We start from the raw sequence: 25,880 nt of genomic DNA on the forward strand, positions 1-25,880 counted from the left end.
ACCAGAGATGGTATCTTAGCCCCATGTTTCCTGTGTGAATCAACCACTGTGGCACTATGCTCTCAGTATTATAGGGACACAACTGCATAAAACATGTTTCTTGCCTTGATTTTATTATCTTTGACCTCTGAGAAGAACAAGGAAAATAGAAGGTTGAGAAATTGCTAGAAGAAGGTTCAGAGAAGGTTGCGTGGTAACCAGAGGCGGCTTTTGGAAGAGTAGCCTTTGATCTGAGCCCGAAGGCTGGGTGGGATTTTAGCAGGCAACCCTGTGGGTGGCATCTTTCAGACCTGAGGCCCCCAACTAGGGGACAGGCAACTGACTTCAACCTCATCCTGATTCTAGAAGGAAGAGTCAGCAGAGCAACCAGAGTTCTACTACGATGAGTTTGGTTTCCGTGTGTACAAGGAAGGTAAACTTGAGCCCCTTTTGTGTGTCATCTTGCTGATGTTCTTTGGGGAGGACTCCGCTCCCTTGACTGAATTACTCGGCCTGTGATGGCTGAGCTCTGATGCGTCAGGGTTCCAGATTTAAGGACAGAGTGTATCTGAGGGTGATACTCTCATAAGTATGGGAGACTTCTGCTTTTTTTGAGATAAATTTTACTGATCCTCACCTGACAGTAAAAGCAATCGTGTTCACTGTAGAGAAGTTGAAAAATTCAGGCTGGACGTGGTGGCTCACGCCTGTAATCCCAGCACTTTGGGAGGCTGAGGTGGATGGATCACTTGAGGCCAAGAGTTCAAGACCAACCTAGCTAACATGGTGAAACCCCATCTCTACTAAAAATACAAAATTTGCCAGGTGTGATGGTGTGCGACTGTAATCCCAGCTACTCAGAAGGCTGAGGCAGGAGAATCTCTTGAACCCAGGAGGTGGAGGTTGCAGTGAGCTGAGACTGCGCCACTGCACTCCAGCCTAGGCAACAAGAGCAAACCTCTGTCTCAAAAAAGAAAAAAGCATATTTTCAATGGCTGTATAATATCCTTTTATAGTGAATATACAGTATTTGGATAACTACTTTTCTATAACTGAGTCTCTAGTCCATTTCTGTTGTTTTCTACTATAAATGGACCTTTTGGTCCTGAGTGGGCTATTGGGAAGTCCATCTGCCAGGCCAGAACTGTGGCTAGGACATTTTAATTGACTGCAACTAATCACCTTCAGGTCACTCACGTTTCCAATTCTGACAAAAGTTTTCCTTGTTCTTCTGATTCGTAGGCAGGTATTTGCAGGTTAAAGGTTTGGGTTGAGAAGGACACAGGGAACTTGCTGGTATGATGGAAGTATCTGTGTTTGGCTGGGTCAGTGGAGTCAGAGTGTTCACTGTTACACCTTGGAACTGAGACTGCTTGATGCGGACAATGTTCAGACATTTGTTTATGCACCAAAATGTACACCTAACATTTGTGCATTTTACTGTAGGTAAAGTCATTAAAGTTGGTGTCTTTGAAAGCTGGGCTGAGGGATTGGCTTTTGGGTGAATAAGGACGAGGCTGTCTGTGGAGCTCACCCAGGGGTTGCTGGGCTGCCACAGGAGAGCTTGACCTCATTCATTCAACAGATATCTCATGGACCCAACTGTGGGTGGTGCAGTCTCCACAGCTGCATCCCTGCAGGCCCCCGAACAAAACTGAAGGTGGTCTCAGCTGCATGGAGTTCTCATTTTAGTGAGGGAGACAGGCAGTAAACAAGCATGTAATATTCTGGAGCAAGAAGGGCTGGAAAAATACTTCCAGGGATAGAGAAGAGGGGCAGTAAATCATATATAAAAAGGTCCTGAAGTGGCCCTTTCAGACCATGTCATTGGAGTGGAGAGAGCAAGAGGAAAATGGCAGGGGGTGAGGACAGAGTGGGCACGGCCCAGAGGAAGCAGCTGAGGGAGCGCTGGAAAGCCCTTGGCTTTAAGTCTCAGCTCTGAGCAGAGTGACATGATCTGACTTGCATTTTGGAAGGGTCACTGTGGCTGCTGAGGGGAACAGCCTTTGGGAGGTGAGGGTAGCAACAGGGAGGTCAGCAGGAGGGCCACTGCAGTGATCTGGATGAAGGACCATGGCTTGGACAAGGGCCATGGTCAGGGGTGGTGAGACGTAAAGGAATCCTGTGGGTTTGCTGATGGACTGAGTGTGGGGTCTGGGCGAGGGAGGAGCCAGAGGTGACTCCGAGGTTTAGGCTGAGCATCGGGAGAATGGAGGTGTCATTTCTGGATCCGGGTAGTACTATGGTAGGAGTGGCTTTGAGGAGAAGGTGAAGAGCTTTGCTCCTCATGGGGTACATGTTAGAGGCTCACCTGGAGCTGTCAGAAAGCCATTAGCTATGGGAATCTGGATATGGTGGGAGAGAGCTGGCCTAGAGCCATGAAGCTCAGACCCTCCTGAAGACGGAGGCTTGGCTGCTTGGAGAACACGTAGTAGAGAATGCTTTTTCTTTCCTCCTTGGCTCTCTCTTGGCAGAAGGTGATGAGCCTGGCTCCAGTCTGCTGGCGAACTCCCCTCTGATGGAGGATGCTCCACAGAGGCTGCGGTGGCAGGCCCACCTGGAGTTCACCCATAACCACGATGTGGGGGATCTCACCTGGGACAAGATTGCCGTCTCCCTACCCCGCTCTGAGAAGCTCCGCTCCCTGGTGCTGGCCGGCATCCCACATGGCATGAGGCCACAGGTAAGGTGGCCACAGGGACCCACAGGGTGTTGAGAGGGTCCTGGCCCCATGATCAGGTGTCACGAGAAAGACTGAGTGCCCTTGCGGCTCCCTTCCCTCAGCTGTGGATGCGGCTCTCTGGGGCCCTGCAGAAGAAGAGGAACTCTGAGCTGTCCTACCGCGAGATTGTGAAGAACAGCTCCAACGATGAGACCATCGCTGCCAAGCAGGTGAGGCCGGTGGCACTGTGCAGGAAGAGCTGGAGGCTGTGTGGGCTCGCAGGAGAGAGGGAGCCTGCCTGGGGTTCTTAGAGTGTGCCCTTGTTGTGGGGTAGGGGAGGATATTTGCTCCTTCCTTGGTCCTCTGCAGGCCAAAGAAAGAATTGTCCAAAAGGCCATCAGTGCTGTGGAAGGGCTTGGAGATGGGGTTCCCAAGCCCGGGTCCACTTCAGGAACAGATGGGGACTCTAAATATAGACTCCAGGCCTCGGGCCACACGTTTTCAGGTGGTCTGGCATGAAGTTTCCCAGCTGGATTTGATGTCCCGGCTCCACACTGGCTGGGAGCTGACCCTGAAGGGAGGAGGGTGACCTTGATCAGGAACACAAGGAATCCCCATTTCTGGGGGAGAAGCCCGCCTGGGGTCTGCCTCCCTCCCAGGGTGTCACAAGGTCTTGTTATTGTGGGTGCCGATGGCTGCCTGACAGATCGAGAAGGACCTGCTCCGCACCATGCCCAGCAACGCCTGCTTCGCCAGCATGGGTAGCATCGGGGTGCCCCGCCTGCGCAGGGTGCTCCGGGCCCTGGCCTGGCTCTACCCAGAGATCGGCTACTGCCAGGGCACCGGCATGGTGAGCACAGCCCCAGAAAGGGCAGTGGCAGCCCCAGGACCCCCTCCAGGACCCTAACAAGGAGTGGCCTCCCGCTACGGGGCAGTAGCCCCAGGGCCTCCTCCAGGACCCCTAACAAGGAGTGGCCTCCCACTCCGGGGCGTCCCCAAGGAGATCGGGGCAGCTGCACGTTATGCAAGCAGAGGCGCTCCCCAAGGGATGTGAAAGTGAGGCAGGCCAAGGAAAGCAGCCCAGGGAAGGCCTGGGTTCCAGCATGCGTGCCCCCCAAGAGGCTTTTGCTAATTGGTCTCCCTAGGGTAGGGGCACCTTTTCTAATCTGCACAAAGACCTGGGTAGAAGGCCCTTGTCCCTGTGCCCTGGCCAGGTGGCCGCCTGCCTCCTGCTGTTCCTGGAGGAGGAGGACGCCTTCTGGATGATGTCTGCCATCATCGAGGACCTGCTCCCCGCCTCCTACTTCAGCACCACCCTGCTGGGTGTCCAGACTGACCAGCGGGTCCTGCGCCACCTCATTGTCCAGTACCTGCCTCGCCTGGACAAGCTGCTCCAGGAGCATGACATTGGTAAGGCGCCCCTGAGCCACTGGCTCCCATTCTGCAGCTTGGAGGACTCAGGCGGGTGGCCGAGTGGGGATAGGGCACAGCCCCCCAACCATGGTCTTTGTCGCTCTTTTGTTCTCTGGTGTTCCCTGCCCCCTCCCCTCCTTTGCTCTTAAGCAGGGAGGACCTTGCTGCAGTTCCGGGGAGGGAGGTTTCCACCACCTCCTCCCCAGCGGCTTTGGCTCCTGTGTTTACAGAGCTGTCCCTGATCACACTGCACTGGTTCCTCACGGCCTTCGCCAGCGTGGTGGACATCAAGCTGCTCCTGCGCATCTGGGACCTGTTTTTCTACGAGGGCTCCCGGGTGCTGTTCCAGCTCACGCTGGGCATGCTGCACCTCAAGGTGCTCCACGGCCCCACTTCAGGCTGAGGAGTAGGCACCCGAGATGGGGGGCAGGGGAGCAAGAGACCTCCCTGGGCCAGGCAAGACCAGCCCCCTGGCCCCTGACAACTGTGCCAAGGCAAACGGGTCCCTGAGGATGGGGGTTGGGGTCAGCTCAGTGCCACGTCCCTGCAATGACAACCTTCTTCCCCCATCCTGCCCTGGCATGGCCCAGGAGGAAGAGCTGATCCAGTCAGAGAACTCGGCCTCCATCTTCAACACGCTATCGGATATCCCGTCGCAGATGGAGGACGCGGAGCTGCTTCTGGGGGTGGCCATGCGGCTGGCCGGCTCCCTCACCGATGTGGCCGTGGAGACTCAGCGCCGCAAGCACCTGGCCTATCTCATTGCAGACCAGGGCCAGCTCCTGGGGGCCGGCACCCTCACCAACCTCTCTCAGGTGGCCCAGGATGGGGGGCCGCACCTTGACCCACAGCACACGGGGAGGAGGGGTCACCTTGAAGTTCAGAGCGCGGGGGCTGCGGAAAACAAACCAGCCCTTCCTGCTCTGCCCCCCAGCCTGGCCCAGTCAGACCACAGCTGTGGGGTGATCCAGGCCTCCTCAGGCTTTGTGCACCTCAGGTTCTGATCCTGGCACGGTTTGGGAGGAAGGCAGACCCAGCTCTGATTATCTGTTTTCAATTCTTGGAGCCAGCGTCAGAGGCTATTTCAGATGAGACAGTATAAGCCAAGGGCTGGTGGGTTCTCTTCCTCCCGGGGCCAGGACCACCCTGACCCACTCCTCTTGGTGCAGGTTGTTCGCCGCAGGACCCAGCGGAGGAAGTCCACCATCACTGCTCTGCTCTTCGGTGAGAGCTCTGCGAGTGCCAGGCAGTGTGGGCATGCGGGAGTCTGTCCTCACGCTCATGTGGACGTGGAGCTTCCTCCTCGGGGGCCTGGAGTGGGCTGTGGTCACCATGGTTCTCTGGGCCTCCTAGGGGAGGATGACCTGGAGGCACTCAAGGCCAAGAACATCAAGCAGACGGAACTGGTGGCTGACCTCCGGGAAGCCATCCTGCGCGTGGCACGCCACTTCCAGTGCACAGACCCCAAAAACTGCAGCGTGGTGAGTCGCCAGCTCCCTGGGCTGCTACCAAACACGGCCCTAACTCCTCCAACCCCCTTGGTGGGCCTGTGTTCACTGTGGCAGGAGCTGACTCCAGACTATAGCATGGAGAGCCACCAGCGGGACCACGAGAACTACGTGGCGTGCTCACGCAGCCACCGGCGCCGAGCCAAGGCCCTGCTGGACTTTGAGCGGCACGACGACGACGAGCTGGGCTTCCGCAAGAACGACATCATCACAGTGCGTGGGGGCGCTGGACTACCAGGTCCTCAGGCTGTGGCGGGTTCCCCAGACTCCCTCCACCAAGCCCCACCCCAACCCCTTTCCCTGCCAAGAGCTTCTCTTGTGAAGATGTAGGGGTCTTGGCCTGGCCTAGTTGCTGAGGAGTCATATCGGGGGTGCAGGAGGCGCTGGCCCAGGGCACCCAGCTTTGGTTCCTGCTGTTTTTCCTCCTGTGCAGATCGTGTCTCAGAAGGACGAGCACTGCTGGGTGGGGGAGCTCAACGGCCTGCGAGGTGGGGTCCTTGGTCTGCTCTTGAGCTGGGAGAGGGAGGAGGGGGTGGGCACAGAAGACTTGGGTGACCCTGGCCGCCACCAAGCTGTTCTCCTCTATACACCTGCCTGGCTTGAGGTCCCTGAAGCAGCTGAGCCGGCTTCCCACTGCCTCAGCCTGCCTGCAGGCTGTGTCTGCTCTGTCCTCGGCCCTCGTGGTTGCTCCTTACAGGGCCTGTTTTTCCCACAGGCTGGTTTCCAGCCAAGTTCGTGGAAGTCCTGGATGAGCGCAGCAAAGAGGTGAGGGGGGTGGGCGGGCTAGGCACGGCTGGCACCCTTCTAGCCAGGGCCTGCGTGCCTAGCGAGTCCTGGCCTGTAGCATGGCAGAGAGGACAGAGGAGGGTGACTGGCTGCAGGCGTCAGGCAGGGCTTTCTCAGACCCATCCCTCCCATCAGTACTCCATCGCGGGGGATGACTCGGTGACGGAGGGGGTCACAGACCTCGTGCGAGGGACCCTCTGCCCGGCCCTTAAGGCCCTGTTCGAACATGGACTGAAGAAGCCATCCCTGCTTGGGGGCGCCTGCCACCCCTGGCTGTTTATCGAGGAGGTAAGTCAGTGGCTGGGCCCATGACCCCCACCCTGCACCAGCCCTGCTGTGCCCCCTAGTACCCATCTTAGGTCCTTCCTGCCCCACAGAGAGGATGGGAAGAGCTGGCAGCGTGGTGACAGGTGCCCAGTCGGCCCCAAGGGCTTTGAACCAGCATCTTCCTGTCCCTGCACTCACACCGTGTGCTGTCCCCACAGGCTGCAGGCCGGGAGGTCGAGAGAGACTTTGCCTCCGTGTATTCCCGTCTGGTGCTCTGTAAGACCTTCAGGTAACTCGGCCCGGGTTCTTCTGGTGGGGTCACCAGCAGTGGGAGGGCGGGGCCTGACCCAGCCCCGGCACCCCAGGAGCTTTGGTGTCCCCTCAGGTTGGATGAAGATGGCAAAGTCCTGACCCCGGAGGAGCTGCTCTACCGGGTAAGGGGGCCTCCTCTGCCAGACCCTAGAGACCTCTCTGGGGTTAGCCTGTGGGGGAGCCTGAGTGACAGCTGACGGTGCCGTTCCCAGGCTGTGCAGTCTGTGAACGTGACCCACGATGCAGTGCATGCACAAATGGATGTGAAGCTCCGCTCACTGATCTGCGTGGGGCTCAAGTGAGTGTGGAAAAGGGGTTGGAGGAGAGCCCTGGAGTGGGGGGACCCAGCCCAGCATCAGGGGGGGTCCTTACAGGGAACCCTAAAGGACAAAGAACCTCAGGGGCTCAGGTCCTTCCCCAAAGAGGGTGGTCTGGGAGCTGCTGAGAGACAGGTCAGAGGCTTCCACCGTGGCTGCAGCCAGAAGGGCCTGGAGCTGCCCCTGCTCCCCACTCCTGGCCATGTCCCCAGTGAGCAGGTGCTGCACCTGTGGCTGGAGGTGCTCTGCTCCAGCCTGCCCACCGTGGAGAAGTGGTACCAGCCCTGGTCCTTCCTGCGCAGCCCGGGCTGGGTCCAGATCAAGTGTGAGCTCCGGTGAGGACCTTACTGGGCTTGGGGGATGGAGGTGGGGTGGGAAGGGCTAGCTGGGGGTGACAAGAGCCTTACCACCCCTTCCTCACCTCTAGAGTCCTCTGCTGCTTTGCCTTCAGCCTCTCCCAGGACTGGGAGCTCCCTGCGAAGAGAGAGGTGGGTGGTGTGGGCCTCGTAGGGCCTGCACTGATGGAGCTGCCCAAACCGTTCGCGGGGTGGCTAAGGTGGGAACCCGAAGTGCTGGTGTCAGCGGTTAGGAACTACCCCAGCCATGCCCAAGGCCTGTGAGGTGAGGGGCTGCCCTGTTTGCAGGCGCAGCAGCCCCTGAAGGAGGGCGTCCGGGACATGCTGGTGAAGCACCACCTCTTCAGCTGGGATGTGGACGGGTGACCCCCTCCTCCCCAGCCCAACCTCGGGCCTGCGTCTGAGGTGGCCCAGGACCCCAAGCTGCAGAGCCCAGGGAAGAGCAGCTCCAGAGCCCTGGCCGGGGCCGCGGGATATCAATATCAGGCTGCCCCACTCCACGTTCCCCAGCACATCCCAGGTGGTGGGAGCAGAGGGTACCCTGCCCCACCAGGGTCCTTAGGGATGCTCTAGGCCAAACCACAGTTTGTACCAAAAACCTTGTGAGGAGGTGGGGGAGCCATGTCTGTGCTCAGGAAGAGGGAAGGGGATGGGGGTGGCTAGTAGGCTCCTGGCCTCTTTGGTTTATAAATAAACTGTGTCTGTCTTTGAGAAAGCACCTACCTGTCTTCTGTGCAGCTAGGGCTGCAGAGCTGTATTCAGGTCCAAGGTTCTGCCCTTCCTTGAGTGGTCTAGAAGGCACTGCGTGGCCCCTCAGATGCTGGGACACAACAGACCCGGGACCCAGCTGTGCTACCCACCCCTTCCATGGACTGAATAAGATGGACTAACAGGCCTGTGTTTTTGTGTTTATTTTAAAAAGTTCACACACCTTCCCCATCTTTGTCCCAGCACTGGTTTTGGTGACTCCACCCCTACTCCCCTATGAGTCAGCCCAGAATGTGAAGCCAGTGGCCCCAGGGCAGGAGATGGCCACCCCTCAGCCCCACCGCAGGGTGAAGCTGGGCCCGAAGCTCCTCCTGTCCTAGGGCCACGCTGGCTGCAGTGAGGCGGCGGGGACGGAATGTGAGTGGGTGGAGAGCTCCTGGCAGGAAGGCCAGGTAGCACCTCTGCCCTCATGGCACTGATAAGGAGCCAGGAAGCAGGGCAGGTGGGGCATAGGCCGTGGCAGGGTACCTACATGTCAATCACACGTGATGGGTGGGCCTGGGTAGCTGCATGCCAGACTGGGCACCAGACTGTGGCACACAGCTCAAGGGTAACCTTGCATCCAGGCCCTTCTGTGAGAGTAGGATGGGAGGGAGTTGCACCCATCTCCTGTCCGCCCCCCCCCAAAAATATATATGTATGTCGATATATAATATAGAGGTATATACACCTGTACATAAAATTGTTGCCACCAACCACTAAATGGTTACACTACACCAAGACACTAAAATGGCAGGGAGCCCTGGGATCCTGGGGTTGGCAGACACAGGGAATAGGGGGTAGAGGCCCAGGCTAATTTCTCCCTTCACAGCAAAGCAGGGAGAGAAAGGAAGGAGATTCACCCCTTAACCTGTCTCAGCCCTGGGTCAGAAGAGAAGCCTCCCGCCTGGCCAGGCTTCACCTACCTTAGCCAAATTGTAGCCAGACAGACAGTGCCCCCTGACCTCAAAAAAGGAGGTCAAGCTGAAATGGCCCTGACCCTGACCGTGTGTCCAAAACCCCAGCGTGAGAGCCAGGGCTGCTTCTTGACAGCTGCTCTCCTCTGCCCTGCGTGGCACTGAACCAGGAGTAAGGGCTTCTCTGTTCTAGCCTCCCAGGGAAGGGAAAAAGCAGGGGCTGTGATTGTCAAGACTCACAACCATGTGGAGAGGCCGAATCACGCAGGAGAGCCACGCATTGGAGTACCCTGGCTCCCAGCCCCTTCCCCACCCCGTCTTGAGCCAGAGAGCTACAAGCAGGAATCCCAGTGCAGCTGCAAATCATGGCCATCGAGGAAGTCTGTGGAGAAGAGGCTGGGGGCTGTGGTGCTGAGGGGGGCTAGGCTCAGCACGGGACCACCTGACGACAGCTCCAGCCAGTCCATGCTGTCCAGGTGGCCATCAGCCAGGTCCAGGCCCATGGTGCTGCTGGGCTCAGGAACAAAGTGCAATTCCGAGGTGTCCATGGGTGACGGGGGGTGGTCCAGGATGGCAGTGCTGCTCAGCATCTGGCTATGGAGGTCGTCAATGAGGGAAAGGGGCTCTGGCCCGTCATGCCCACTGGTCAGCAGGGGCAGCCCCGTGCTGCTCTCCAGGAAGTCCTCCAGGCGTCCAGGGAGGGAGGGTGAGCCTGGAGGAGGTGGGGCAGCCTGGGGGAGCTCAGCAGAAGGTGATGGCTGTGCTGCCAGGGGGGACCCACAGACTGTCTTCGGGGATGGCTTCTCCTTCCCTGGCAGGGATGGCGGCTCCTTGAAATCTGCTGAAATTTCTGCCAATCAATCAAGAGAGTAAATGGATATCAGAAGCCAAGCCTGTATATCTACATGCAAAAGAATGAAGGTGGACCCCCCAACGTCACACCATTTACAAAAATAAAACGGATCAAAGACTTACTTAAATGTAAGAGCTAAGACTATAAAACTCTTTAAAAATATTTGCAAATCACATATTTGATAAAGAAGTGATATCCGGAATACACAGAGAACTTCTAAAACTCAACAACAAAAAACCAAACTTGACTCAAGAATAGGTAAAAGAAAGATTTGAACAGACATTTTTCCAAAGATGATATACAAATGGCCAACAGCACATGAAAAGAGCTCAATATCACTAGTCATGAGGGAGACCACAGTGAGATACACCTCAAACCCACTGGAGTGGCTACTGTAAAATTAAATTTTTAAGAAAGTATTGGTGAGGATACAGAGAAACTGGAGCCCTTGTGCCCTGTGGTAGAAATGCAAAATGGTGCAGCTGCTATGAAAAACAGTATGGAGGTTCCTCCAACACTTACTTACTTAAAAATAGAATTACCATATGATCTAGCAATTCCACTGCTGGGCATATACCCAAAAGAATTGGAAGCAGGGTCTCAGGTATTTGTACACAGGTGTTGATAAGTGCATTCACAACAGTAGAATGTGGAAGCAACCTATGTCCATCAATGGATGAAGGAAGTGATACTATGCTTAGTGCAACAGCCTGTCACAAAAGACAATTCATGATTGCACTTAGTCAAAATCATAGAGACAGAAAGTAGAATGGCAGTTGCTACAGGCTGGCGGAAGGGCCAAATGGGAAGTTACTGTTTAATGGGGATAGTTTCAGTTTTACGAGATCAAAAGAAAGGGAGATGGATGGCAGTGATGGCTGTACACATTATGAATGTATTTAATACCACTGAACCATACACTTAAAAATGGTTAGTTACAATGGGCTGGGTGCAGTGGCTCACGTCTGTAATCCCAGCACTTTGGGAGGCCAAGTGGGGTGGATTACTTGAGGTCAGGAGTTCGAGACCAGCCAGGCTAACATGGTGAAACCCCGACCTCTACTAAAAATACAAAAATTAGCCGGGCACGGTGGTGCACGCCTGTAATCCCAGCTACTCAGGAGGCTGAGGTAGGAGAATGGCTTGAACCCGGGAGGCGGAGGTTGCAGTGAGCCAAGATTGCACCACTGCACTCCAACACTGGGAAACAGAGTGACACCCTGTCTCAAAAAAAAAAAAAAAAAAAAAAAAAAAGGTTATGATGGGTTGGGCACAGTGGCTCACACCTGTCATGCCAGCACTTGGGAGGCTGGGACAGGAGGATTGGCTTCAAGCCAGGAGTTTGAGAGCAGCCTGGGCAACAAGGCAAGACCCCATCTTTATCAAAAAACAACAACAAAAAAAGGTAAATTTTAGGTGTATTTTACCACAATTTTTTTTTTTTTTTTGAGACTTGAGTCTCACTGTTGCCCAGGCTGCAGTGCAGTGGGGCAATCTTGGCTCACTGCAACCTCCGCCTCCCGTTTTCAAGCAATTCTCCTGCCTCACCCTCCTGAGATTACAGGCACGTGCCACCATGCCTGGCTAATTTTTTCACCATGTTGGTCAGGCTGGTCTCGAACTCCTGACCTCGTGATCCGCCTGCCTTGGCCTCCCAAAGTGCTGGGACTACAGGTGCCCGCCACCATGCCCGGATAAATTTTTTGTATTTTTTAGTAAAGACGGGGTTTCACCATGTTAGCCAGGATGGTCTCGATCTCCTGACCTCGTGATTTGCCTGCCTCAGCCTCCCAAAGTGCTGGGATTACAGGCGTGAGCTACCACGCCCAGCCGATTTATCACAATTTTTAAAAAATCAAAAAAAATGTGCAAAGGACTTGGCCATTCTCCAATAGAAGATACACAAATGGTCAGGCAGCACATGAAAAGATGTTCCACGTCACTAAATGACAGAAATGCAAACTAAGATACCACTTCACACCCATTAGGATGGCTTGTATCAAAAAATTGAAAATAAGAAGTGCTGGTGAGGAGGTGAAGAAACTGGAACCCTTGTGCATTGCTAGTGTGAATGTAAAACGTTACAGCTGCAGTGGACACAGTTTAGTGATTCCTCAAAAAGTTAAACACAGAAGTTACCATATGAGGCGGGGTGCGTTGGCTCATGCGTGTAATCCTATCACTTTGGGAGGCCGAGGCGGGCAGACTGCCTGAGCTCAGGAGTTCAAAACCAGCCTGGGCAACACAGTGAAACCCCGTCTCTACTAAAAAACACACAAAAAATTGGCCGGGCGTGGCGGCGGGTGCCTGTAGTCCCGGCTACTCGAGAAGCTGAGGCAGGAGAATTGCTTGAACCCCAGAGGCAGAGGTTGCAGTGAGCCAAGATCGTGCTACTGCACTCCAATCTGGGCAACAGACTCCGTCTCCAAGGAAAAAAAAAGAAGAAATTACCATATGATCCGGCAATTCCAACCCTAGGTTTATGCCCAGAACTGAAAGCAGGGACTCAAGACAGACACTTGTACACTGACATTCACAACATCCAAAGGGTGGAAACAGCCCAGGTGTCCAGCCACAGATGAATGGATGAAGAGAATGTGGTGAATCCACACTACAGGGTATGATTCAGCCTTTAAAAAGAGTGAAATTCTGACACATGCTGCAACACAGATGGACCCTGAGGACATTATGCTGAGTGAAATAAGCCAGACACAGAAGGACAAACTGAGTCTACTTCTGTGAGGTCCCCACGACAGGCAAATCCATAGAGAAAGTGGGATGGGGACTGCCAAGGGCTGGAGTTGGGGAGAATGGGGAGTTACTGTCTAATGGGTACAGTTTCCTTATGGGGTGATGAAGTTCTGGAGCGGATAGGGGTGACAGTTGCACAACACTGTGAATGGACCTAATACCTCTGATTGTACATTTAAAAAATGATTAGAATGGCAAATTTTATTATCTCACCACAACTAAAAAAAGAATTATGCAAAAACCAGGCCTGCTCCCCAACCCTGTGGGTTCTGGCCCCCCCTGTCCTGGCAGAATGCACTCTTTGCCCTGCAGCCGCTCTCACCAGGCAAGGAGGTCGCTGCCTGCCCAGCTGCCACCACCTGCCCAGACCTCTCTCCTCAAACACCTGCTTCTGGCATCACTGCCACCTCTTGGGCCACTTTTCAGTGTCCCTTTGGCGGCAGGCAGCACCCACACCCACCATCTCCCTTTCTCTGCCATCCCTTAGAAGCTAGAGTTCAAAGCCTGTTCCCTTTTCCTTCTTGAACAATATCTCTGGGGTAGCACCTCCTTCCCTTGGAACCTCCTGAAGCTCACGCCAAGGCCTCGCTCCTGAGCGCCCAGCCCAGCCGTCCTCACAGCGGGTCCCATACCTGCCGCCTCAGTGCCACCTGCACTGGTGAGAGATGCGCCTCAGACCCCAGGGACCCAGGGATTCTCCCTAGGGCTTGAGAATTACAGACCTCACAGGAACACCAGTGACTGAGCTCTTGTCTTAAATTGAAATAAAATTCACACAACATCACATCTACTCTGGTAGAGCTGTGGTTCCAGGCTGAGCTCCCACTTTGCCTGCACCCCTCAGCCGCTCCTCCTCCTCCTGAAGCCACTGAGACACTCAAAGAGAAGTCCACGCTCACCACCCAGCATCGGCACCACAGGCCCAGACTTCTTGCCTGCTGCCGCCAGTGAGCTCCTCCCCAGGACCATCTCGGGGTCATCTGGGATCTTCTACTCCCAGCTGGGTCCCCTCACACAGACGCGCGCTATTTCCTGCCCAGCATCTGCCCTACCTCCTTCTTCCCCTCTGCAGGGGAACCTCCCAGAGAGCTCTCTACGGCCACCCCCACCCTGCTCCCAGGCCTCTCATGGACTTCCTGTTGTGCCCATGATGCCTACCTTCCGTGTCCAGGCCTCGGTCCTCAGCTCCCTTGGTCACGGCTGGATTCCAGGACACCGCACCCTGCCACTACTTGTCCTCCCGACCCCCAAGGCTGGGCTTAGCCCCAACCTCTGCTCCCCCACCTCACACCCTCGGCAGCCTCCCAGCTCCAACTGCCAATCTAGATGTGACAACACTCCAACTCCTACCTCCAGCCCAGACCTCTCTCACAAATGCCACTTGATGTCAACTGTCCCTGTGAACCCTCCATTCGGTCTCGTGACACACCCCATCAGGGACCGCGCAATGTGGTCCCACACGTGCCCCCTCCCCAGCTCACCCCATCAATGGCCACTCCACCCTGGCCCTTTAGGCCACAGCCCTTGAAGTCATCCTTGGCTGTTCCTTCCCTCTCCCCCCACTTCATCCATAAAGACACCAACCTGGCTCTCTCCAAATGGGGCTGATTCCAGCCGCTCCTCTGCCCGCCACTGCTGCCTGCTGGGCCAAAGCCCAGCTCTCCAGTCGCCCCCCAACCTGGGGCTCCCTGCTTCTGCCCTTGCACGGCTACTATCGCCTGGGTCCTGCATCAGACCAGGCCTTTTCTGCTCAAGGCTGTGCGATGGCTTCCCACACAATGGAGCCAAAGCCACCCTGCCCTGGTGCCCAGGAGGCCACGCATGATCTGGCCATGAAGGCCTTCTTCCCCTTTCCTCAACTCCACTCCAACCCGCCAGGTACTCCCGAGGCCGCACAGATGCACACAGCTGCCCCTGCTCACAGGAGACATCCTGGACCTTCCCCACCAGGCTCCCCAGACCTCTCCCTCTCCTCCATTTTTGTCCTAAGGCTCCTCTCGGATCTTCCATATGATCTGCTTATTTCTTATATTTGTTGTCCACCTCCCCAGGCTGCACTGTGAGCTCCACAAGGGCAAATGTCTCTTCTGTTCGTTGGGAGGCGAGGGCCTTGGGGCAGTGCTTCCAGCTGAAGGACGGCACCTTCCCTGGTCCTCTCGCCCAGGCCTTGGAGACGGGAGGGCTCACAGCCACCACTGCATCCACAGTGCTTGCCCAAGACTGGTCACGCACGGAAGCATTCAATAAAAACAAACCAACCCAGGGCTAGAGACACCTATGAACAGAGAAGGCCGTCAGGGAGGCAGCAGGGGACCTGGGGTTACCTCCGCTCTGAATGAGAATGTCAAACAGGTCGTCCATCTGCTGGCTTGAGGAACCATTTTCCTGTGGGACAAAGGAAAAAAAAAAAAGAGATAAAAATCTTGAATGGGGGCTCCCAGCCCGAACTACGAATGAGGCCCCTCCCTCTGCCCCAGAATAAGCAGCCAGATCCACAGGACCCATGGGCGTGCCCGGACTCCTGGAGCCCGTCCCCTAACAACCCACTCCCCAAGGCCTCTCTGACCCTGAAGCTGGGCTTCGCCTGCCCCCTATTCCTCCGGGTGGGGCTGTAGGAGCCTCAGCCCAGCAGCCTAGGGCAGCTGCCAACACTAGCCAGGCCTAGCCCGCCTTCCTCACCTGCTGTTTGGGCTGCTGGCTCATGGCTTCCTCATAGCCAGGTGGTTCCTTCTTCAGCAGAGAAGTGGGGGTCCCAAAGAGGGGCTGCAGTGGGTGCTCCAGGTCCATCTGGGCAGAGGGGGCAGGCGCTGGAGAGCCAGGCTGGGACGAGGGCTGGACAGGAGAGCAGGGAGAGGACCAGTGGCCAGGGGGCTGGGGGTGCAGACCTGCCTTGTAGGGGGCGGGGGGCGGGGATAGGGCCAGGGCCTCTCACACTCTAGGAGGGAAGATGGGAGGCACTGGCTTTTAGGGAGCTTTCATGAAAGCCACTAGGTAGGAAGGAATACAGGATGGGGGGCCCTCAACCCTGCAGGGGGTGCCTGGCCCCTTGAGGTTTGGGAGAGGTCTCTGGGCTGGGCTGGTCACCCCCTGAGATTTCTGCAGCTTCTTTCTCTGCTTGGGGCTGCTCAGGGACCCCTGTCTCCTATCCTGAGGTACCTGTTCCTGTCACTGTCTTCTCTACCCCCAAGTTCTGCAGGACCACGAGGCTACATAAAGCCTTAGGGCAGCCTCACCTGTGGCCTGGGCTGAGAGAGGGTCTGCTGAGGGAGCTTTCCGCTGCTGACACCTTGGTGGGGACAGCTAGCCTCTCTGAGGAGAGGACCCTGAGCTGGATCCTGGCCAGAGGACCCCACAGCCTCTCCCCGGGGCAGGCTACCTCTGACCTTCACTGGCCACTCCCCACAGAGCAGCACTAGGGCAGGCCCAGCCTGGGTACGGGCTGCTCAGGAGTCCTGCTGCTGAGGTGCCGAAATGTTCTAGTCTCAACAGCCAGAGAGGTGGGGAGCTCACCAATGGCTCCGCCCTACAGCTAGGGGGTCTGAGGCAGGTCCCTTAACTTTCCTAAGTCTCAGTACCCCCCTGGTGAAGGAAGATTAAATGAAGCAAACACAAAATGTCCAGCACGAGGGGTCCCCTGGCCCAAGAGGGCTGTAGCGAGACGCTCTTCCCACCCTCCTCTGGGCCCTGCCCGGTTCCTCCCATACCCAGGTACCTGCTGGGGGCTCCCACTGGACAGGCCAGGGCTGTCTGCATTCTTATTGGTCACGGTGAGGACAAGGTGGGTCCCTGTGGAGTCGGTGATGAGGGTGGGAGGTGCAACCCCCTTGATGAGGCTGGGGCCCTGAGGCCCCAGAAGCAACTGGGGGGCGGGGACCGGCTCGGGCTCAGGCTGCAAGGCTTCCTGCTTCACCACCACGGACGGGGGCCCCGGGGCCACAGCACAAGGGTCTATGTGGTTGGTGGCTGGGGCCGCCAGGCTGGGGTTGAATGGGTGAGCGGGGCCCAGGGGCTGCTGGCTCAGCTGGCAGCTGGAGAAGCTGTTCTCCTGCTTCACGGGGGTGCCGAGGGGGGCGGGGGCGGGGGCGGGCTGCTGGGCTCGCTTCTCCTGCTCCAGCTGCAGCTTGAGCCGCTCCACCAGCTGCTGCTTCTGCCGGAGCATGCGCGTCAGCGCCTCGATCTGCTTGTCTTTCTCCTGCAGCATCTGGTCCTTGTCGCGCCCCTCTAGCTCCGCCCGCCCCCCAGGGCTCAGGCAACAGGACCCGGCCCGGGGGCCCTCCTCCTTCACGAGGATCTGCAGTGGCGAGGCCTGCAGGGTCAGCTGCGTCAGAGGTGATGTCACCATCTCACCAAAGGTGTCCCCGGGGGTGGAGTTTTCATCGCCCGTGCTGAGCAGTGAGCGCTCCGAGGGGGTGGGAGACACGGGGGGCGTGGAGCCCGTGCTGCCAAACTTCACCACCCCACTGCTGGCCACCGTGGCCACCACCACCTCAGCTGGAGCCAGGCCTGCTGCCACCAGGGCTGGCCCCGTGCTCAGCCGGGCCGCTGGGAAGGCTACCACCACCTCGCCAGCCTTGTGCAGGATAGAGGTGGCGGCAGGGGCCTTGGGGGCTCCTGGCACAGGGCTGATTTGGTCTTGATAGGCTCGAAGGCGCTCAATCAGCTCAGTTTTGGTGCCCGAGACAGGCAGTGATCGCAACTTCAGCTCCTGCTTCAGCTCTGCCACCTGCAAGGCAGTCAAGAGTCAGGGAGGCCAGGGGCAGCTGGACACAGGGCACTGGGTCCAGGCAGAAGGGCAGTCTGGGCCCCATGGGCCACTGCAGATGCATCAACTACCCTAATCCTCCAGCAGCCTGGAGGGTGCAATGCCCCCCACCACCTGAGCCAACAGCATCCTCTCTTTCATTGTTCTCACTCTAGCAGGGGTCTGGTTAAAATGCTCCCCACCTATGCAGGCAACGGGGGCTGGTACATGGTGCCCACAGCTGTCCCCAGCCCCCAGCCCCCAGCATGGTGCATGGGCTCAATAAATATTCAATGGAACAGACTGTATTTTGCAAAGAGAAAACTGAGCTCATGAAAGTAGGGCCCAGCCTGGTTCAGAGAACAAGTTCTCAAGGGAGAGCTTGGTCCAATCCATCTTCTGATGGGGCAGAGAAAACACGCAAGGCACTGGGCATGACCCACTCCTCTCCAAGGCCCTAGGATGGAAGCCAAGTCTGTGGCCCTGATCACAGGCCGCTCTCTTCCCAGGCAGACACTGCACCTGAACGGCAGAGTGAGCTCTGCATTAACCGGCAAAGGGGAAAATGCGGGCAGGGTTGCTACTGGACAGTCCTGTCTACACTGACCAGGTCTGCGACTGTGGACAAGCTCCTCCTCCTGTCACTGCCTCAGCCTGACCATCCTCAAAGGGGCACCAATCCCCACTTCTCACACTGCATGCAACACGTAAGTCGAGGAAGATAAGAGACATGCGACTGCCTGGACAGATGCTGGCTGTGCTGCCAACAACAGGAACCACCACGAGGAAGCTGGTGTCATTCACCATGACCACCTCCAGGCAGCCTCAGAGCTGTGTCCAAGGTGCCCTGTCTGATGGGGACCAGAGCCTAAAGCCCTGCTCTGCTTTCCATGACGGTGGGTCCTAGGCTGGCTGCCTTCCCTGCCTAAAAACCAGCACCCAGACAGCCCCTGTGGGAAGGGCCAGGCTGGCAGTGGCTCAAGTTTTCCAGTGGCCATGTACCTTCATGTCGTCCAGGTTGGCCGGCAGGGCTCCCGGCTTGCCAGTCAGTGAGGTGCTGTTCTGACGTGCCAGCCCACAGGGCCCAGGGGCGCCCGAGCTGGAGCTGCTATTGGTAGTGGAGAGGCTGCGTACTGGGGGGGTCCCGCTGCTTCCCAGGGCCTCGCCTGCTGACCTGGGAAGAAAAGGCAGAAATTAGCCCCATCCAGCTTCGCCCGTGGCCTCTGCAGGTGGCAGCCCAAGCCTGGGCAGCAGGATTGGGTACAGATGGGCATGGGGCAAGGGCCCAGCAAAGGCTAGGGTGGCCCTGCCTGCAGACCACTCTGTAGCATCCAGACCAGCGGGTCCTTAAAGATGTGAGGTTCACCCCCACCAGACCTGGCACCTGCCTGGCTCAGGGTGGCTCGGGGAGGGCAGGGGCAGGCAGTGAGGAGCGGGTGCCTACTTTGGCGGGGCAGGCAGGATGGCCTGGTAGTTGTGGTGCTGCTGCTGCTGCTGGTTGAGGATCTGCAGCTGGAGGAAGAGCTGCTGCTGCTGCAGGATCTTGGCGTAGGATGAGTCCATGGGGGGTGCCCCCCTGTCCTGCTTCTGGTCCGGGGGGATGTACTGGTGGTACTTGAGCTTCTTCACCTTTGGCTTCAGCTCCTTGGCCTTCTTGCTGCGCTGTGACTTCTCACTGGCAGACTTGGGTTGGCTTTGCTGAGGGCACAGGAGACAGGGTGCCATTCAGGGGCAGCCTCAGGCTTCTCGGGGTGGGGCTGGCAACTCTCCCCACACCTGTGTGGCTTCTGAGAAGACATCCCCATCCACACTTTGCCCATTTCCACTCTTCCCTGTGGGACCGTACACCCCGTGAAAAGCAGAAATGTGCCCAGAAATGTGCCAGGAAAGGGGCTGGAGTGACAAAGAGGGCTATGCCTGACCCCCGACTTAAAAGCTTCTAGCTCAAGCAAAGACATCACCATGACCCCAAGCAGGGTGAACACAAGGAGGTAAAACCCAGCTGACTGATGGAGCTCGGGCTGCGCCAGACCAGGCACCTTCCAAAGACGGGGCCACACAAGCCTCTCCAGAATGCTGCTTGCTCTTCTCTTGCTCTTTTTGGGGCTGGGGGGAATTCTGCCAGGTAGGAACTGTCGTGTCTACTTGAAAATGGTGAACGGGCTCAAAGAAGTCACTTGCCCAAAGTCACAATGTGATCTTGTTCTTGTTCTAACACAGGACTCCAAAAGCTCCTATTCATGCCCCCAAAGACCTCCAGCTGGCACAGCCACTGGGCCAGGAGAGTCAGAAGACCCAAACTGACCAATAAGGGCCAGTAGGTGATATATGGGAGGTCTGTTCTTGGAGCAAGGAAGGGCGCAGTTGGACGAGGTGAGTTAGCAAGGGAGTGCCAGAGAGAGACCACGGAGAGCCGAGAAGTTTTGAGCAGAGAATGGCAGACAAAAGCGTACAAGGCTGGATGTAGGAACAGGTGGTGTCTAGACCTTGTGGCAATGAGGACTGAAAGGAAGGTTTGGGCAGGTGACCCACTAGTGGAAGAACAGACAAAGTGAACATGTGGCAGGTGAGAAGTGATCACAGAAGAGGTTCTGGTTTTGCTGGGAGCATGGGAAGGATGGAGAAAGGGCAGGGCTGCCGGGGCTGTGGGGCCAGGATTGCCCCAGAAGAAGGGAACAGAGCCACAGAGAGCCTGTGAGCACAGGCTGGGGAGCAGGAAGAAGTACAGGCAGAGGCAGAGGCAGAGGCAGAGGCAGAGAGGAGGCAGAGGGCAGAGCCTAAGGAGCACCCCCAATTAAAGGGAGGAGGAAGGGAGGCAGGGAAAGCACAACCAAGGAGAGGGAACCCCAACAGCTGGGCCAGGAGCACAGTGGTGGGGATGGGACTTGGATTGAGGCCCCTGAAGATAATGTTTCAGTACACTGGTGAGGTGACTGAAGAGATGTGTAGACAAAATACACAGACTCTTCTTCCAAACGTGGTAGGCAAAGGAAGGCAACAGGAGTGTGAGGAGAAGCACATTGGAGGAACTCTGGGGGAAAAGCAGGGACACCTGCTGACAGTGAGAAGAGAATGCAGGTGCAGGACAGGCACTAACTGATGAGGCAGCACCCGGGCAGGCAGTGCTGAAAGCAGGGGTAGGCTGGGAGGAGAGGCCACTCACTGCTCCCAAGGCCTGAAAGAGGAGACTGACATTCAGGAAGCCACAGTGACTTTCTGACATGGAGGAAGCAAGAGGCAGCAGAGATGACAGGGTCATGTGCAGAGGCGGGACTGGGGATGTCACCATGGGACAGAGCCAGGGAGTGCCACAAGAAGGGCGGGCAGCTCCCAGAGCTAGTGGGGCCTACTAAGGCCAGAGCACAAGCACCAGACAGCCCAGGCTGCAGACTGTCAGCCTCTCCTGAGGCTCAGATGGCCAGGGGTTGCCAAGCCAGGCACAGGGTCTGTGTGAGGAGAGAGCCTGGGGAATAAGAAAGGACAGAGCACAAAGGGTGCAGGTGGAGCAAGTCAGGGAGGCGTGGGCCAGGCAGAGGTGTGGGGCTGGGGTCCCCGAGATCCTGGTGAGATCCTGGTGGCCAGGCAGCTCTGTGGAGCAGGGAGGACTCTGCATGAGCTCTTGGTGCAGCTGAATTTAACAGCAGACACCTCAGTCCATGAGGCCAGCAATGCCCAGCACAGGTCCCCCACACCGACAGTGGTAACCCCCGCCTCCTGCAGGCATTTCAGGCCAGGCCTTGAAGGAGGGGAACACCACTCAGTGGCACCTCCTGCATGACTCTGGCCGCGTCACTTCACTTCTCAGCTCCTCTCTTGTAGCACAGGGCTCTATTTCTGCCTTGCGGAGTTGTTGAGTGAACAAGACATAATGTGTGGGAATGACTTCATGGATGAGAGCAGGAGTGAGGACCTGGAATGCCCAAGGCCAGCCCATAGCCACGAATAATTGGTGGCTATGATTGCAACAGCCAGTGTCATGATGGACAGCAGACAGAACGGGAAGAAACTCCCAGACCAATGGGAGAAGACACGCACCACACCCTCTACAGCTGTCCCCACAGCTGGAATGAAGTCACAGCAGGACTCCAAAGGGCACAGGGAAGGGGAGGGTACAATCACTGGCAGAAATGTACCTTAATGAGTGTGGGGGTGGACTTGGCAGTGGGGATAGTGGTTCCATTGGTGAGGCTGGGAGGCAGCAGAGGTGGGGGAGGCAGAGGAGGCTGCTCTGCCAGGAAAAGCATTTCTCTGGAATCCCGGCCCATCGGAAGTTGAGACACAACCTGAGAGGGAAAAAGGGAAGTGAGGACATGGCCACCTCCAGGTAGGGTGTGCCCAGCCTGCCCTGACCCTACACAGGGTCCTCAGACGCCACCATTGTCAGAGGGCAAATGGTGGGCAGAGACCGGAGGAGGAGAAGAGCAACCCCCAGGGTGGCAGGAGCAAGGAGGAGCTAGGAAAGAGAGAAGGCAATGAAAAGGTCACAGAACTGAATATACTCAAGAAAAACAGGCTGCTCCAAATAAATGAATACAGACTGGGCCAGTGACGTTTGCAATCCCACTGCAAGGCAGCCATGGCCAGCGTCGTCCTCCACCTGACCTCTGGCTGCTGGAGAGGGGCCACTGCCCACATCTCCCACCACCGGGGAGCTCAAGCAGCCAGCACCTAAGCAACTAGGGTAGCATCCCCCTGGCTTCCCTGTGCCAGAGCAGGAGGCATCCCGTGGCCCAGGAGAGAGACCTTACTCTGCGCAGCCCTAGCACCTTGGAGCTGGGGAAGCATCTGGAAGCACACACTCACCTGGGTGGGGGATGCAGAGGTGGCACTGAGCAGTGGTTCGCTGACTCGGGCCTCCAGGGGTGACGGCACAGAACCCTGGGACTCATGGCTGGCAGGCTGCTCGGGGGATAAGGCATCGCTGCTGTCCTCATCGAAGGAAGAGCTGTCTGCTACTTTGGGATAGTTCACCTGGCCCACTGAAACCCAAAGCTGGTGTGAGATTCCACTTCCAGCCCAGGGAACAGATGAGCAGGGACAGGCCTGGCTCGCAGGCCACAGGCAGAGTGCCTGGCCCACAGCCCACATGCCCCGTGAGGCAGGCAAGCCGAGGAGACTAGCAGCCAATCTGCTTTCTTGGTCCAAAAAAGCTCTGGTCATCATAATGACCCTGCAAGAGAGGCCAGAAAGGCCTCCTAGGCTATCAGAGTGACCTCATGGGCCGAGCAAACGCCTCCTTTAGCCTCTTGCTTGTAACTCTATACTGTGTTTAGTCTTCAATGTCAAGTTGTCCCTCCCTCCCTTGCTCCTCCCTGGGAGACCCGGGCTACCTTTCTACCTCAACCGTCTCCCTATTGTTAAAGGTACTCTGTATCTTCATCCCACACTGCACAAAACTCTCTTATTCCCCCATGATGCTTACAGATGGTGCAGTGAGGGCTCTGAACCAGCTAACGAGGGACCAGAAGAGCCTGGGTAACAGCCCTGTGAGTGTAGCTGAATTCCCCAGAGGCCAGGAACAGACTAAGGAGCCTGGCTCTGGGCTTCAGATGGAGGGTATCCCAGAAAGGGGATGTTTGCCTGCACAGGTGAAATGGAGGTGGTGTGGTGACCTCCTCTAGAGGCCAGTGGCTCACAGAGACCCAACACCTGGGCAGGTGGGGCACCAGAAGAAAACATCCTACTGGCTGTCACTGCCCTGGCCTGACCCACTGCCAAGCTCTGGATGACTGTGAATGCAAGTCCTTCTGAGGCCAACTGGAAGCAGAGGCAGGGGAGGAGGGCGTAGCACAGAGCTTCTGTTCCATGGGGTCCCAGTGGGAAGGAAAGATGGGAACAGAGGCAAGGAGGCTATTTCAAGAGTCACTGTCAGAGCCACCGGCTCAACACTGTCGTGGGAAGAGGTGGGGGTGGCAGGTTCTGAGCTGATCTGCCATCCATACAGAAGGAACTGAGGCAGTGGTGAAGGCAGGGGTGAGCTGCCGCCCAAGCCTGGGGAAGTATGCTGTGTGGGAAGACCCCAGATAAGGAAGAGGAACAAAGCGCAACAGCTCAGGCTGGGTTTGTCCTTGCAGTGGCTCTCCTAGGAGCTCTTGCCCTCCAGGGCCAGGGCCAGGACCTGAGGCTCTCTCCTCCCTCAGGACCTGGGAAGGATGCATCTGAGCTTCTTCCTTACTGGCGACTGTGGTGGTGGCTTGCTCCTCTGTCCCCTCATCTGTCCCAGCAGGGGCAAGTATGCAACACACAGAACAGGGCTTGCTGACCATGTGTACTTCATGCCAGACACACGGCTAGATTTCCCCCACAATCTCCTACTTCCGGCAACGGCATCTGATTTGGGACAGCAGCCCCATGGCAGCCAGTACTGACAACGGTGAGCAAGGGTGGAGGAACTGTAGCTTCCCCCAGATTAGTCCAACCCAAGGAAGCTGCTGGCCGTACTGTGGAAAACCCAGGGCTGGTACAGGCCAGGGTCACTACAGACTATTTCTCTCTCCACTCACAGTCACATCCTGGGAACAAAGATGGGGTCCCTGCCCTCCAGGAGTTTATGGTCCAGTTGCCTTGGAGCCCAGTGAATGCTCTGCTAGAGAGAAAACACAGAAGCTAAGGGCACACTGAGGAGAGACTCAGAGAAGTCTTCCTGGAGGACAGGACTTAAAGTGAACCTTGACGATAACTGAGGGGCCTGGAGGAAGGGTGGGATGGGGAGCTTAGATGTGTGGGGAAGACCCCAACCCCCATCAGCCCTTTTCTCAGGCCTCAGAACGGTCCGCTCCCCCTTCTCCCACTGCCCGCTTCCTTCCCACTCATCTGAGCCAAACTTCCTTCCCAGCTTTGCCTCTCCTGAGCCAAACCTCCACCTCAGCCAGGGTTCCATTTCCTCGTCCTCCTCCCTCCTCTTCCTCTGAAGGTGCCCATCCTCTCATCTCCTTGACTCTTTCCTCTCAGCCCAAAAACCTGCTCCATTGCATCCAGCCTGAAAATCCCTCCTTAAGCCAGCACCTGCCTCTGCTTTCCTTCTCCACAGAACTATTGAGCAAATGAGCTACATTTGCCATCACCACCTCCTTCTCTCCTACTCAACTGTACAATCTGGTTTTTGCTGGCAAATGCTCTGTGCTCCTTAAAGTCCCCAACAATCACCCCATTGCCAAATTCCTCAAACAAACAAGCTGTGTTCAGCCAGGCCTCCAAGCCACTGCCCATGCTGTTCCCTCTTGTACCTCTGTACCTTTTCCACTTGGCAAACTCTGACCCAGCCTCCAAGCTGCCCCCAGACGTGCTATAGTGTGGGTACTTCCCTGGCCACCAACACCTGTTCCCATCCCTGAGAGAAGTCCCTCTGCTGAGCTCCCACAGCACTGACACACACATATCCATTGTTACACTGTCCATTACAGCAGCTGCCAGCTGGTCTAGAATGAGTGTTATTGCTGACAACAGCAGCAACCATTGTGTGAGTCTCTCTAGGCGCCAAGGACCATCCATCATCGTGTGTGATCCTGCAAGCAGTCGCACAAGGCAGGTGACTCAGAGACAATGTCACAGGGCCATGGCCTTCCTACCAGGCAGCACTGGCATCTGACTGGGAACCAGACTCAGAAATCAGTTGTTTATACATTAGTCTTCTCACATCAGACCTACGTGAATTCTTTTAGCGCACAAGTCATATTTTATTCATCTTTGTGACATCAGGACTTCACATGGCCTGGCACACTGCTGAGTCTCAGCACACATTTATCAGACTGTGGCTGGCTGCAGCATCCAGAACTGGCTTGGCCCCTACACTGGCCTATAACTAGGGGCTGCTGAGGAATACACGGAGGAAACCACTGAGATGAGGCAGGATGAACGCCAGGGAAAATCTGTGAATTATAAGAGCTACTGTATCAACATGGGGAAAGGGCTCCTCCGGGCCCAGTGTGGGCCAGCCTCCAGTAGGGTGGCTACAATGCAGAGGAGGCCCTAGAAACTGCCAGTCACCTCTAATCAGGGCCCAAAGCCTAATTCAGCATGCGTTGGGGGTCTGCTGCAGTGTTTCCCCTCTGCCCAAAACTAAAACTCATGTTAGAGGAAACCCTGAGCCTCTTTCTCTGAAGGCACAGCTGCCTCAGGAGGGGCAGGCAGGTGCTGTCTTGTCAGGGATCGGATCTTGGGCCCACTGCAGCGAAGGAGACATGTCTGTACCAATTATCACCAAAATCTAAGAGTAGGATAATAAATATATTTGGTTTTTGTCCCCCAGTTCTCATCACAGAGCAGCTAAAA

General features: G+C 56.7%; 2 protein-coding genes across 24 annotated transcripts in view, besides 4 other annotated features; one reads left to right on the plus strand and one right to left on the minus strand.

Moving 5' to 3' along the window:
• The window catches only part of SGSM3 (small G protein signaling modulator 3), a 39,696-nt gene extending 31,200 nt beyond the window's left edge, over positions 1-8,496 (plus strand). For 2 of the 19 annotated variants that reach the window (NM_001350039.2, NM_001350043.2), the window contains 19 exons: positions 346-412; positions 2,454-2,662; positions 2,764-2,871; positions 3,348-3,491; positions 3,856-4,051; positions 4,285-4,430; positions 4,645-4,869; positions 5,224-5,278; positions 5,408-5,535; positions 5,620-5,775; positions 5,996-6,050; positions 6,278-6,327; positions 6,484-6,636; positions 6,834-6,904; positions 7,001-7,049; positions 7,140-7,225; positions 7,406-7,579; positions 7,672-7,732; positions 7,889-8,496. In NM_001350039.2, coding sequence (NP_001336968.1) covers positions 346-412; positions 2,454-2,662; positions 2,764-2,871; positions 3,348-3,491; positions 3,856-4,051; positions 4,285-4,430; positions 4,645-4,869; positions 5,224-5,278; positions 5,408-5,535; positions 5,620-5,775; positions 5,996-6,050; positions 6,278-6,327; positions 6,484-6,636; positions 6,834-6,904; positions 7,001-7,049; positions 7,140-7,225; positions 7,406-7,579; positions 7,672-7,732; positions 7,889-7,966 — 2,211 coding nt within the window. In that variant the 3' untranslated portion in view covers positions 7,967-8,496. Of the gene's footprint in view, positions 1-345; positions 413-2,453; positions 2,663-2,763; positions 2,872-3,300; positions 3,492-3,855; positions 4,052-4,284; positions 4,431-4,644; positions 4,870-5,223; positions 5,279-5,407; positions 5,536-5,619; positions 5,776-5,995; positions 6,051-6,277; positions 6,328-6,483; positions 6,637-6,833; positions 6,905-6,980; positions 7,050-7,139; positions 7,226-7,405; positions 7,580-7,671; positions 7,733-7,888 lie in introns of those variants that run through there. The other 17 variants (NM_015705.6, NM_001350046.2, NM_001350041.2 and 14 more) reach the window with 13 other exon arrangements.
• Positions 8,496-25,880, minus strand: part of MRTFA (myocardin related transcription factor A) — a 226,431-nt gene continuing 209,046 nt past the window's right edge. For 3 of the 5 annotated variants that reach the window (NM_020831.6, NM_001318139.2, NM_001282660.2), the window contains 8 exons: positions 22,413-22,588; positions 21,743-21,892; positions 19,054-19,307; positions 18,612-18,783; positions 16,581-17,591; positions 15,548-15,700; positions 15,193-15,253; positions 8,496-10,114 (listed from right to left, as the gene is read on the minus strand). In NM_020831.6, the coding sequence (NP_065882.2) occupies positions 9,597-10,114; positions 15,193-15,253; positions 15,548-15,700; positions 16,581-17,591; positions 18,612-18,783; positions 19,054-19,307; positions 21,743-21,892; positions 22,413-22,588 (2,495 nt within the window). In that variant the 3' untranslated portion in view covers positions 8,496-9,596. Of the gene's footprint in view, positions 10,115-15,182; positions 15,254-15,547; positions 15,701-16,580; positions 17,592-18,611; positions 18,784-19,053; positions 19,308-21,742; positions 21,893-22,412; positions 22,589-25,880 lie in introns of all 5 variants that reach the window. The other 2 variants (NM_001282662.3, NM_001282661.3) reach the window with 2 other exon arrangements.
• Positions 10,733-10,832: a silencer, noted in NCBI's record as "silent region_13771". NCBI's record gives its function as "represses an Ori minimal core promoter by ATAC-STARR-seq in GM12878 lymphoblastoid cells {active_cell/tissue: GM12878}" and the evidence as "EXISTENCE:reporter gene assay evidence [ECO:0000049][PMID:35858748]".
• Positions 12,463-12,612: an enhancer, noted in NCBI's record as "active region_19087". NCBI's record gives its function as "activates an Ori minimal core promoter by ATAC-STARR-seq in GM12878 lymphoblastoid cells {active_cell/tissue: GM12878}" and the evidence as "EXISTENCE:reporter gene assay evidence [ECO:0000049][PMID:35858748]".
• Positions 13,493-13,892: an enhancer, noted in NCBI's record as "active region_19088". NCBI's record gives its function as "activates an Ori minimal core promoter by ATAC-STARR-seq in GM12878 lymphoblastoid cells {active_cell/tissue: GM12878}" and the evidence as "EXISTENCE:reporter gene assay evidence [ECO:0000049][PMID:35858748]".
• Positions 14,598-15,097: an enhancer, noted in NCBI's record as "H3K4me1 hESC enhancer chr22:40812395-40812894 (GRCh37/hg19 assembly coordinates)". NCBI's record gives its function as "activates a minimal SCP1, AML or CMV promoter by ChIP-STARR-seq in naive H9 embryonic stem cells {active_cell/tissue: H9 hESC(naive)}" and the evidence as "EXISTENCE:reporter gene assay evidence [ECO:0000049][PMID:30033119]".

The sequence above is a fragment of the Homo sapiens genome, chromosome 22 (genome assembly GCF_000001405.40).
Source record: "Homo sapiens chromosome 22, GRCh38.p14 Primary Assembly".
NCBI lineage: Eukaryota > Metazoa > Chordata > Mammalia > Primates > Hominidae > Homo > Homo sapiens.